We start from the raw sequence: 13,691 nt of genomic DNA on the forward strand, positions 1-13,691 counted from the left end.
AGGTGTCATGTAATCAAGTCACCCTTCCTAGGGCTGGGGGTTGGTGGGGAGAAGAGTATAAGAAATGACGTGGAGGCTGGGGAGAAGTGACTGGTAGTTTGAGTAAATGACTCTTACTACTTTGCGAATTTGGGCCTTAATATCTATTCTGTGCTTGTCTTCTTTTTCCTAATGTACTGCCAAAGTTAAAGCATTTTAAAAATCAGATTAGCTAGCCTCGAGAGGCCTTATTCTTATATTTATTATTTGTGTGTGTGATGGCATGCTAGTCTTGGGACAGATGGCCCCAATCCTTTCCCTTGCCTTATCCTACTCTGGTCTGCATCGCAGGGGCAGTCGATGCTGGATGCCCATTGTCCAGCCTCCGATGATAGCATGGTTCACTAATAAACAGCACCTATGAGAGACTAAAATGTGGATGGAGTGGAGAAACATGGTGCTTCTTTCATCTTGCGCTTCCTCAGATGTTACCTAGTTTGGTGTCAGTGCCTTGTCTGTGGCTATAGTTCCAGCTTTCTCTATGGCCCAAGTGCCTGGCTTTTATAACATGTCTTCCTCTCTTTGTCTTTTCAGCTTAGGGAAGTAGCAGCTTCCTCCTATCCTAGTTGGCCTGTCTGTATCTATTTGATTTCTCATCTTCCCCCTTACCTATGTAGACAATTCTTGATATTAAATTTTCTCTGGTTTAAATACTTGCAGTGGTTTATATTTTCCTGTTCAGACCAAGATTGAGACAGATTGACAGATTATTATCAGTTTCAGACAGTGTTTGGACAGTGTGATGTAATAGTATATAATTGATTCTATTTGTCTCTTGTATTTTTTTTAATTAATGAAGTTCATTTTTTTTAGAGCAGTTTTAGGTTTAGAGAAAAATTGAGCAGCAAGTACAGAGAGTTTCCATATACCCAACTCCTCCACACACGTATCGTTTCCTCTGCTATTAACCTTTTGCATTATTAACAGTAGTGTGGTACATTTGATAAAATTGAAGAGACAATATTATACTTTTTATTATTATTATTATTGTTAGAGACAGGGTCTTGCTCGGTCACTCAGGCTGGAGTGCAGTGGTGCCATCTCAGCTCACTACAGCCTTGACCTCCCCTGCTCAAGCGATCCTCCCACCTTAGCCCCACAAGTAGGTGGGACTACAGGAATATGCCACTGTACCTGGCTAATTTTTGTAGAGATGGAATTTTGCCGTGTTGCCCAGGCTGGTCTTGAACTTCTGAGCTCAAGTGATCCACAAGCCTCGGCCTCCCATAGTATTGGGATAACAGGCGTGAGTCACCACACCTTACCTGATACACTATCATTAACTAAAATCCATGGTTTACATTAGGGTTTATTCTTTGTACTTTACATTCTCTGTGTTCTGATAAATGTATGATGAAGTGTACGTACCATTACAGTGTCATAGAACAGTTTCACAGCCCTAAAAATTCCCTGTCCTCCACCAATTCATCCCTCCCTCTTTCCTTCTGAACTCCTGTTCTGTCTCCATAGTTTTGCCTTTTTAGAAAGTCATATAGTTGGAATCATACAGTATGCATCATTTTCAAATTGGCATCTTTCACTTAGCAATATGCATTTAAGTTTCTTCCACATCTTTTTGTGGTTTGATGGCTCATTTATTTTTATTGCTGAATAATATTCCATCGTATGTCTGTATCACAGTTTGTTTATCCATTTACCTTGTGAAGGACATTCTTCGTTACTTCCAAGTTTTGGCAATTATGAATAAAGCTGCTATAAACATTTATGTGCAGGCTTTTTTGTGGACATAAGTTTTGGCTCATTTGGGTAAATACCAAGGAATGCATTTACTGGATCATATGCTAAGAGTATGTTTAGTTTAGTAAGAAACTGCCAAACTGTCTTCTGAAGTTGTTTTATCATTTTGCATTCTCACCAGCAATCAATGAGAGTTCCTGTTGCTCCACATTCTTGCCAGCATTTCTCGTCAGTGTATTTGGATTTTAGCCATTCTAGCATCATTTTTCCACTACTGATGATAACCCAACCTTTTTCTTTTCTGGTGGTGAAAAGATTAGATCAGTGGCTCCATCATGACTATTTGTAAATATGTTTTATTAATCATTACTATTTCTTAGGTCCTTGTCTGTTTTGAAAGAACCTGGTACCTGATTGCTTCTTTTGGTTCCCATTGCTCTTTGGAGTCATTGTTATTCTTTTATTTTGTTTTTTAATTGTAGTAAAACCAGGAATCAAGGATGCTGTGTGTGTGCTTTCATGCATGCTTGTGTATGCAATGCGCACCTAAGTGTGCATACATGAGGCAGGTGTAGAAAAATATTTCTTATATTTTCTACAAGTCGTTTTTTACTATGGCGGCCGATAACTCACAAAAGAGGAAACGGGATTATGTTTTTCACTATTATTTTAGACAGTGTTTCAGGACTTAGCCTATTTTTGCAGTGTCTTTCATGTCTACTCCCAATGCTGCAACCTTAGCTCAAGCCTTGATCTCTCACTTGGTTCATTCCAATATCCTCCTGTCTGGTCCTCTTGCCTGCATGCTCTCATTCATTCACTGCATGAACAAAACATCACAATCTATTGTGTGTCAACATTGTGCTTAGAAGCAAGGATACACAGGCCAGTGAGGTACTGGTCTGCCATCAAGGAACTTACAGTCTAATAGAAGGAAGAATTAGGTAAATACATGATTACAACAGAGTTTGGTAGGTTAAGCAAGAAAGATATCACACAACAAACCATCTACTTATTTGTGTATACCCCCATGTAATTGGTTTTGGATGGGAGACTGCTTACTATACCAATAATTCCCACAAACAATGGTGAGGACCTTAACTAATTCATAGGCAAAGATTTTAAAATCACTTGGTAGACTAAGCTTCGTAAAGCACAGTGCAGATCATGGCTGTTAAAATCCTTCAGTGGGTTTGCATTTACCATTAAACTACAGCCAAATGCCTTAGCTTGAAAATTAAGGTCATTCATGTCTTGACCTTTACCTCCCCCTCCAGCCTTGTCTTATTGTACTCCTGCAAATATATTGTACATCCTTGTTAGACCAGAATATTCACTGTTCCCCCACGCAGGCTTCATGTCCCTTCTCTGCTCATGCAACTCTGACTATAAAATTTTCTCCTGCTGTCAAAAATCTTACCCATCTTTCCAGTTCAAATAGCAGTATATCTGTTATTGAGATATTGAGAGATCTCTGGATACATACAATCTCCTGCTTGCTTCAGCCCTGCTAGCTATATACTTCTCCTTTTATGTTTTACCAGAAGTTGATTATTTCCATAATGCACATACTTGGATAGTCTTTTTAATAGAAGTTTCTTGAAAATTTTTCCTTAGGGCTGTGGACATAACATGACATATTTATTCAGTGAGTGAAAGGATGAGTTCTCCCTCTCTGTGAATGCCAGCTAGGTCTTAAGATTTGTAGTTGAGAAGATATAATTCCCAGGGAAGCATAAATCTCACTGTCCTTCCAACCAAAAGACCCAGATTTAACTACGGAATAATAAAAAAACTCTCTGTTGTACAAAAAGGATCAAGTCACTGTTTCGAATATTGCTTGTTCTTCCCACAGGTTTCCATTAAGGTTGTATATTACACTCTATAAATATCCTGACCTACAATTGAGTGATAGTTGTTTTCCCCCTCTTAGGGTTCTATCTTGTGTCTAGAGATTCTTGGGATTATGAGGAGACAAGTCAGAAGTCTTCTTTTTTAAGGGGAAAGAAAAGAGGGCTCCCTCTCTGGGAGCTTCTGTGGGAAGGAAGCAGGGAAAATGTGGAGTCACCACTTGGAAATGGCAAAAACAGACACCCACCCACCATACCTGTGTGATCATACAACTGACAAAACTGTTCCTATGGTCTCCCCAAATCAACCTGGGATTGATACGGGGCTGTTATTCACCACTGTTTTTGTGCCTGGCAAAGTACTAGACACTTTTACACGTATTATTGCTTTGGAAAAAACAAGCTACCAAATTTGTCAGCAAGGAGATGGCTTGATGAGAGTAGCTTTGGGGAGAGGTGGTTAATATATGGCTGAGTACACAGAAGGGACCCTGCAGTGAAGGCCATGTTTGAGATAGTAGGTAACAGGGAGACCCAGAAGAGGGAAAGAAAACAAATAAAAGCAATGCTTCAGGAAAATATTCATGGCAGTGTTTCCTTCCATGCAGGGAAGTTGACAGGAGAGGCCAACCTTAGCAAAGAGGACCTGTACTTGGGATGATCTCAAACATTCTTGGACCCCCCACCCCCAGCACATTGCTCTCTGGAGCATGTTATGGCTTTTGCTGTGTCTGGATTTTTGCATGCTTCACCTTTCCAGTTTGGAGCTCCAGTCAGCTCTGAAGGTAGAGATGAAAGCATCGGAAACACAGGTGTGGCAGGTGACCCACGGGAGGCAATATGGTTAAGACAGGAGATGCAAGGATCGAGGACTAGAACTTGGGAAGAGTTGTAAAGAGACAAGAGAGATAGGAGTCAAAGAATCAAAGGGATTTGTGAAAAGTTTGAGAGAGAAACACTGAATCAGTCTACTGTAGTTGCAGCAAAATCAAGTGAGTTTTAAGAAGAATGGTCTTTGGAGTCAAAGGCAGTGGAGCCTGTTAAGAATCTAGGAAGCCTAAACTGCAGCCCTGGTTAAAATGGATTACCCTCTCATCTCTGCTCACGTTGTACAGCTACCACTTTTGGAAGGATCAAATATATAATTGGCACCATAACCTCCCTTACACATATTATCTATTTAAGTCATTACAGCAGGTTTATGAAACAGATATTGTCATCACCAGTTATTTATTTATTGCAGATGAGGAAGCTCTACTCAGTATAAATAACTTGCCCAAGTTTGCATGGCTAGTAGAGCTGGGATTAAAACCCGGATATGTTTGTTTCCAAAGTCTGAGTTTTTAGTGCTGGTATTATTTTATGCTACTTGATTGCGTGTATGTGTCTTCCCCACATCCCCTCCAAAAAAGCTGACCCTTTTTCTATGGTTTCTTTGGTCTTTATTACTTTGTGCATATAGTAGGTGTGTGATGCAGATAAACTGAAAGAGTGAAAGGAGAAGTGGAATGAAAAAAAGAGAACATCCAGCGGATGATAGAGAACTAATTGCTACCTTCTCAAGTCCAATTGCAAAAAAAGCTACCTCTAACCTAAGCTTGGTTTACTATTCCCTCTCTCCCAGGTGGTCTGTAGGCAGCTCCAGATCTCCATGTCTACTTATCTGACTGTTCTAAGAACTATGCTGTAGCTACCCCATGACCATAATTATTAAGTGTAACATTCTAAATCTGTAGTAATTTTTGACTCACTGGCCCTTCCCATTTCCTGAACGTGCTAGCTGTGTAACAAAACTTCTATTTGCACAGTTTTCTATAGTTTTCCAAATGCACTGTGGGTTGATTTTGGTAAAAAGAACACTGAAGGAGTGTTGAGTGAAATGGGAGTATTTTGCTCACTCTAAATATAATATTTGATTTATCCCTCCCTGTCATCTGAAAAAGAGACTACCTACAGACTAAAAATACAGTAGAAAATAACTGCAGATCCTCAGATAAATATAATATGCAAAATGACTGAATAGTCAACTTTGTTTACAGACACTCCTGTGCACATCAGACAGATTTTCTCCTAGGTGAGTGAATGTTCAGGGACATGTGAAATACGGGTGGTGGATAGCGTTGTATTAAAATAAAAAGGACCGCATACAATAAAAGTTTAGAGTTTGAATGAGCCACAAGGATCACTGTATTCACATTGCCTCTCACAGATGAGGAAATGAAGATTAGCTAACTGGCCTTAAAGTCACAAAACTAAGAAGGAAGGGAGTCCATCTAGGCTCTTTCCATCCTATTCTCTGGTTACTGCAGCAAACTGCCACCCAAAACCTTTGCAATCCTCCCCCTCTAACTCTCCTGAAACCAAATACTGAGCTTTTCAAATGTTTCTAATCGTGGGTCTAGGAAATTTATTTTGAGATATTCATGCCAGTATCCATTTCTTGAGGCATATATAATAGAATAACTGGAAGGATAAAGAAAATGATTTCGGAGCTGAGTTGATTCATGGACTGAAGACATGTCTTGAGTGTGCCAGGCACTGTGCTGCGTGGGCAAGACCTAGGGGCTACCATGATGAGCCAGATATGGGCCCGGAACTTTAGGGCTTTAAGAATAGTGAAACTGGCTTCTTGTTCTGCCACTCAAGAACTAGACCTTGGGTTAGTTACCTAACTATTTTAGAGCCTCAATTTCTCCATCTATAATATGGGGATAATAATAACTCACAGAATTATTGCAAAAAGGTATACACAAAAATCCTAGTACACAGGAGCTCAGTGTATGGTAGCTGGTATTAGTCACTTCATTTTATAGGCTAGGAAAATGTGAAACTGGGATCCAGAACAGCCGAGCCATGTGCTGAGGTCCACTCAGGGGTCGGCAATGTGACTTGCCTACTGGTCCTTATTTAGCTGGCTGGGACTCTCTTCCCATGCTCAAGGATGTACCCTTCACTTAAATTTTGTTGAATAATGTCTTGTGTAGTAGCTGCTCTTTGTATTAATTTTTACATTGCAGTCTCTTGGAATGTGGAAGCAGATGAGTGAATGATCTAGCAGGTGTCAAGGGGAAAAAACCCCTGGAATTCTCAAATTGAATTCTTCATCTCTTACAATTGAAGGAACTTCAGAGGCCATTTAATGTATCCTCCACATTTGGTTATAAAAATAAAGTCTTTGCACTGGCTTTCCTAAAAGCTATCTGTTAATTTTAAAGGATGCTTATTATCATGGAATCATTTTATTAAAGCACACTCATGGTTATAGAGCTTGCCATTTTATAAGTTATGCATTTTAGAAACTATTCAATACTGGGTCCCTTTCGGACTGGCATGGTGGGTTTACTATTGTGCAAAGGAAAGGAAGGTGAAGAGGCAAATTGGTGCCCATTCAGTATATTCACATTATTTCAGAGAGATTTAAATTTAAGGGCAAATGAAATTTTAATAAGTACTCATATTTTTTGTTATCTATACAAAGCTTCATTTTAAGAAAAAAATAAAGTCTGTTACCTCTTTCAGGGCAGAGTTTTAGTGTGCTCGCTCTCGACCAAGGCTAGGAAGAGTTTTCCTCTTCATTGAAGTTCCACCTCTTGTCTGTTTTTTCATCCTCATTAGCCATATTTTCCCTGGGGTTTCTCCTCCCTCAGGATCACTGCGGAGATTGTGGCAAATGTAGAGCCCTAGGCTCATCCAGATCAACTGAATCTGATCTTCTGGGGCTAGGGTGGGGTGGTTTTGGGAGAATCCACAATTTAAACAAGTTCTCCAGGTGACTTTTCCCTATAATAAAGTTTGGGAACAACTACAGGTGTGTCTGTTTATTGTCTCCCTCTGGTCTTTGCTTTAAACTAGCAGTTCTCAAAGCTGGTTGCATGTACAAACCACCTGGGGAGGCTTGAAAAAATACTGATGCCTAGTGATCCTGAAACAATTGGTCTGGGATGGAGCACAGCCATCAGCATTTCCTCTAAGTGATTTTCATTTGAAGCCAGAGTTGAAGACCAAGACAATCCTTCAAGGATCCCTGCCTGATGTTCTCAATGCATCCTCCCTCTGTCCCTGTATTCTGCCCCTGTTCTATCACTTTCTAATTTGCTACTTCCTTTACTTGCATTGTACATCTTTAATTCCTGACAGATGGGATTCATAGACCATTTGGCATATTAAAAGGGATAGTGTAAAGCACAAAAACAGGAAGTAAGTCAGAATTTAACGTCCGTATTCCTTGCTTGTAACATCCAGGAAGGTGTGTTCTAGTCACCATCCTATAATTCAAATGATGCCCTTTGCACCTGGCTCTGTGATTCTGATTATAGAAGTGACACACCTTAAAGATAAAACAAGAGAAAATGAGTGATCCTATTGCTGCTGATGTTTCAGTTTACTATTATAACATTGGAAAGGGTCCTGGGACACATATTACCATACCATTTCTTATATCTCTTGTTACTTTGGGGGATTCAGGTTGAAGATTGGAGTTGACCCATTTCCTTCATTTTGTGACAAGTGGAGACTTTTCTCCTCTTTTGGATTTTAGTGATTGTTGTTTCATTCATTATCTTCACTTAATAAATAATTATTGGGCACTTCTGCAAGGAAAATGCATGACCACATGCAACAATATGAATGAATCTTGCTGACCTAATGTTGAACAAAATAATTCAGACACAAAAGCAAATTGTACTATATGATTTTTGTAAAGTAAAAGGAAATACAATTAATGTATGCTGTTATAAATCAGGATTGTGATTATCCATGGTGGTGTATTGCCTGGAAGGGACACATGAGGGGATTTCTGGGGTATAAGCAATGTTCTGTTTCCTAATATGGGTCCTAGATACAGAGTGTATTCAATTTGTAAGAATGGATTGACTTATTTTCTTATGATTTGGGCATGTTTTGTAGCTATTCTATATTCCAATACAAGTTTAAAAACTAAATAAAGAGAAATATTTACTGGGCACTGCAAGCCACTGGGGATTCAGTGGTACATGAGTCAGACACATACCCTCCCTTTATAATATATACAGTCAGTTTGGGAATACAGGCAAGTTAGAGCAAATACAGTATTACAAGGGTTTCTGGAGAAAATGACAGCTAAGATGAGCTTTGATGTGTGAATAGGAATTGACTAGTATAAGGGCTGGGGAAAGGAAGGGTGTTAGTGGCAGCAGCAACAGCATGGACATAGTTCTGAAGGATGAAAGGGCAGGTGGAACAGACAAACTGTGGTGTGACTGGGACATAGTGAGTAAGGGAGCAAGGGATGGAAGAGGAAAACAGATAGATAAACTAGGGCTCCTTTATAAGCCATTTCACAAAGTGGGCATTATGCTGAGGTCAAACTTTCATTGAGGGAGACATAGAAAAGTAAGTACAGTCTTTATCTGATGTCGCTTTAGAAGAATTACTGTCACAACAGACTACAAAGTAGATTGGAGAGGGCGAGTCTGAAGGCTGGGATGCCTGTAATCCAGGCAAGAGATCATGGGTCTCTAGCGATGACGATGGCAGTGGGGTGGGGAGAAGTATTGGGAGACATTTAGAGAGTAGACTTGCCAGGAGTTGGTGCTAGATTAGAAGTGAGAGAGAAGGAGAGGTCGAAGTTGAGCAGCTAGATAGATTGTGAACTCTGGCAGGAAGTTGATGAGTTCGGTTCCGGACACAGAGAGAATGAGACTGTCCCAACTCCAGCTGAGAACTCGTCTTACAAAAGTGAGTTTTCCTGCTCTGCCTCCAATCTTTCCTAGGAGCAAGAGCTATTTCCAAACAACCACATTAATGGTTAAATGAAAAGGTGCTGCTTGGTTCATTCATTGGGCAACACAAGACGAGTCTCTTAACCACTAGGTTTCTCAGCTTCTTTCCCTGTAAGATGGTGGCAAGCAGCATGCCCCTCCTATCCACCGGGAAGTGAGATGACAAAATGGAATTCCAATTCTAATCATGTTACCTAAATGCAAGAAGTTGTTATACTTGTTATTATTGCATCACACTTAGTCTTGGAGAACATTTCCCAGTGTTTTCTTTTAAAACTGATGTTAGATAATGTAAAATGTCTACATCCTCTCTAACTTCATGTTGATATGAAAAGCATTTCTGATATTGGTGGAAAAAGGGCTGGAGTCAGCCCCTCCTTTATTTTTACCTTTGAATTGGGATCTTTCTGTTCCCATCTCTGTCATTTTGTCATTTTGGGTCATCGTGTGTTTCCAACAAGTTGCTCTTGAAGTTTATGTTCTTCCTGAAGCTGCATGAGGATGCTTTAGTTCTGTAACTGATACCACCATCCCACAGGTGTGTATGTAGCCCTGTTCTGCAACCAGGAAATCACTTGGGAACCTCGGCCCCTATCTAAAGTCCAAATGACTACAACAGGTCCCTTTCCTTCTCTCTGATTCCAATTTTTTTTTTTTTTTTTTTTTGAGATGCAGTCTCACTCTGTCGCCCAGGCTGGAGTGCAGTGGCACAGTCTCGGCTCACTGCCACCTCCGCCTCCCGGATTCATGCCATTCTCCTGCCTCAGCCTCCTGAGTAGCTGGAACTACAAGCGCCCACAACCACACCCAGCTATTTTTTTGTATTTTTAGTAGAGACGGGGTTTCACCGTGTTAGCCAAGATGGTCTCGATCTCCTGACCTCATGATCCACCAGCCTCAGCCTCCTAAAGTTCTGGGATTACAGGTGTGAGCCACTGCGCCTGGCCCCCAAATTTTCTTAGTTGTATGTCTAAGGAAATGAATGAAAATCTTTCTTTTATCATGTGTGCTTTAAAGTTTTTCCAGCATGAAAGGTCAAATTTAATTATGATTTCTTCACAATTTACGCTAGAAATCACAAAGTGTAAGATTACTTATATGGTTGCCTAAAGTTTCTAAGTTATGTTCACTGTGTGATTTTGAGGCGGCCTGACTTAACCATATATCCTCCTGAAGTTCTGAAATGATTTTGTAATCATCATATATCATTATGAAGGTTTATTATTTTTAATATTAGGCAAAATATAAATAACTCTTTCATGGAAATATTAGATGTTAGGATCAATTTATATAGTTCTGTTCCAGATACAATAAATAACCTGGTGGTTGTTGAATATGTAATATTACATGGTGTTAGAAAAGAATCAATCTGACTAGATAATTTATTACATATTTAATTTACTTTCAGCATGTCTGTGTATCCTACTGCCTTTCTGAGTATTGAAGTTGTGCAATGATCTTTATGCTTAGAGATTCCAGATATATTTCTGGTCATTTTCTTTCTTATATCTGTTCTACAGTTCCTTAATTCTTTTTTTACCTGTGCCCAAACCATTCTTTAATTTGTCCACTAAGATTTTTTATTTTACTGATTATAGTTTTTATTTCTAGTATTTCTGTTTAGTTGCTTTTTAAAATCTGCTTGTCTTATTTTTGCTTTACAAATTATATAATTTCATTGATTTAACTCAGCATTGAAAACACTCATAGGTTGATTTTTCCTGTAACTCTTAGGTTGTGAATTATGCTGTTTGCTGTATCAGCTGATTCATTTCTGTGCTGGTTTGTTTTCTTCTGCTGTAATGTCTGACTGTGACCTTACCTATTGTGAAAACTACCACATGCTTTGCCTAAGGGCCGCAACATTCAGGGGGACCCAGTTTCCCCAAGACAGACCTTGTCTTGTACCTTCCTATTTTCAGACCTGCCTTCCTCTCTACTTCCAGAAGTGCCTGGTGCTACTGATTTCTGAAGCACTATCCCATGAAACTATACTCTTCTATTTTCATTTCGTCCATATAGTTGTGGATAAGAAACAGCCATATTTGAAAGCTTAAATTAAGAATATTTTAAAACATGAATGTAAAGGACTTTAACTATGACCAAGGGGTGATGGCTTTACTGTTCATACATTAATTAAGCACACATGTATGATCATATAATGGCCATTGGAGACACAAAGCTGAGCAGAGTTTATCTCATTGAGGAGACTGACAAAGGAACAGTTCTTTCACAATCTGATAAACACTATTGCAGAACAAAGTGTTCTGGGAGAACAGGAGAGATAATAATTATAGCAGCAGTTTATGAATATTTATTTTGTGCCAGGCACTGTGCTAAAGATCAAATTTTAATGAGAGCTCTGAGAGTCAGCTAACAGTGAAAGACACATGTTAGTATCCTCATTTGATAATTGAGAAAACAGAGTTCATCTGTCGAACAAGGGTTATACCCCTAGTAAGTGACAGAACTGGCTTTTCAAGCATACCTCTCTTGCTCTAAACCACTCTTTATGAGGAGAAATGGGGGAGGACTTCAGACGGGAGATGACAACTGAGCTGGGTCTAGGATGAGAAGGCATAGGCCAGGCACAGATGTTCTTGAAAAAAAGTCCTAAAGGCATATGGGGGTCTGAAAATGGGGAGCAGCTTGCAGTGATGGGGACATAGGAAATGTGGGAGGCAGGGTGAGTGAGGAACGAAGATGGGTCTGGAAAGGTAAAATGAGGGACTGGGTCCTCAAGACCTTACAGCCTATCACCATCCTGGCCAGCAATAGCACTTCACCAGGATTCAAGAGGAGTAAAGGGGTAAGGGATAAAATGGAAGTTAGGGGTAAGTATACCATTGATGTACATTTAAATAAGAAAAAGGTAAAGTTAAGATATTGGCCTTCTGAATGAATTCTCTGTTACCGTTTGCTTCGTGGGAATTTTTCATGTATGATAGAGCTACCGTCAAATATGTAGGCTGCACCTACCATTCGGATGTGGTGTTTGCCCTGCAAACACTGATGGCCTCACTGCACTGTCCTTCCCTTGCTGCAAAGCATCTGTTTCAGTTTATTACTGAACTCCACCTCCGGATTTTCAAGCAGCAACTTCTTTTAAAAATGATTTGCTGTGGGTGAACTTTGCAAGAGAACAAAAACCCCAAAATAGCTGTGTTCTGAAGAGTATATGCCCTATGCCCTATTTAATGACTTTAGGCAACCAAGCTAAAGACATAGTAATAATTAACAATAATAAAACTTGTGGCAACGTTTAGAGTAGTGCCAGTGATCTGTGGGGTTTTATCATTTTATTGGCATATGAATGTTTGGTTATCAAATAGGCAGAAACATCTCTCCATAATGTATCATCACTCAGGTATTGTGCTGTAGATTAGGGTTTTTTTCAATGTCACAGTGACAGTTTTTCAAATTTGTGTAGGAAAATCATGTTTTTTGAAGCATTCTTCCATATTCACAGAGAGATTCCTCTATTTCACTAGTGTATATTTTAGAAAAAGTGAAGACATATAAAGAGTTGCTATTTATTGCGGCACTTTGTTGATACAGATACTTCGTTTTCAGGGATGTGTGCAGATTTATTAAACAGAGGCTATCTGAGCACACTATTTCATTTGAAATCCCAATGAAAGTGTCTTGTCACTTGCACAAGTTTGGTTGAACTTGTATGCTTGGATTGTGCTTACTGTCAGCTGTTCCTTTCATTTCAGTGTGGGGCAATCACTAACTTCTTGTATTTATTTCCATTTTGCCAATTAACTTATTAGTGCAAATTTGTATGTCCTGGTTCTTCTAAGTCTTTGCCAGTTACTTTGGAACACTGAACACTTAACTGTGCTTGCTCTGGGGTACTAGCAATGAAACAGTAATTAACTGAGACAGTTGTATCTTTTCCTTAAAAGCTAGAGAATGGGATTACTCTCCAATAAACAGGCTGAAAGCAAAGTAATGATAACTCTTTTGATAACTCATAGTTAACATAATTTTTTACATTAGTTAAACACTACAGAAATTAAAACTAATGAAATTATGGTTTGTCAGATGTAATAAAATGCCAACACATCAAATCTGGCTTGGCTCAGCAATGCTCTAGAATTTATATGACGTTTTAAATGAATCATAAAATGTTAATTAAGCAGAAATCTTGACCAAATCCGAGTAATCTGATTCAGTCCGGCTGTAGCTATGAAGCAAATAGAATTTTCTTTTCTAATTACATTTTTGTTATCTTTAAAAATCCATTTATGGTTATTGAAGAACAGACTTAGAAGTAACTCTTAAAAGTGCTTTAAAATTAATCTCTTTTTTCACTTCCAACATTTTGGTCATTTTCCTG

The 13,691-nt window shown here is 39.1% G+C and overlaps 2 long non-coding RNA genes across 3 annotated transcripts in view; one reads left to right on the plus strand and one right to left on the minus strand.

Moving 5' to 3' along the window:
- The window catches only part of LOC105377483 (uncharacterized), a 64,875-nt gene extending 57,460 nt beyond the window's left edge, over window positions 1-7,415 (minus strand). For both annotated transcript variants that reach the window (XR_007058326.1, XR_939336.4), the window contains exon 1: window positions 7,098-7,415. This is a non-coding gene — a long non-coding RNA (uncharacterized LOC105377483). The remainder of the gene's footprint in view (window positions 1-7,097) is intronic.
- LOC107986195 (uncharacterized) overlaps window positions 1-13,691 on the plus strand; it is a 496,338-nt gene that overhangs the window by 136,714 nt on the left and 345,933 nt on the right. The window lies entirely within an intron of this gene.

This window comes from Homo sapiens, chromosome 4 (assembly GCF_000001405.40).
Source record: "Homo sapiens chromosome 4, GRCh38.p14 Primary Assembly".
Classification (NCBI taxonomy): domain Eukaryota; kingdom Metazoa; phylum Chordata; class Mammalia; order Primates; family Hominidae; genus Homo; species Homo sapiens.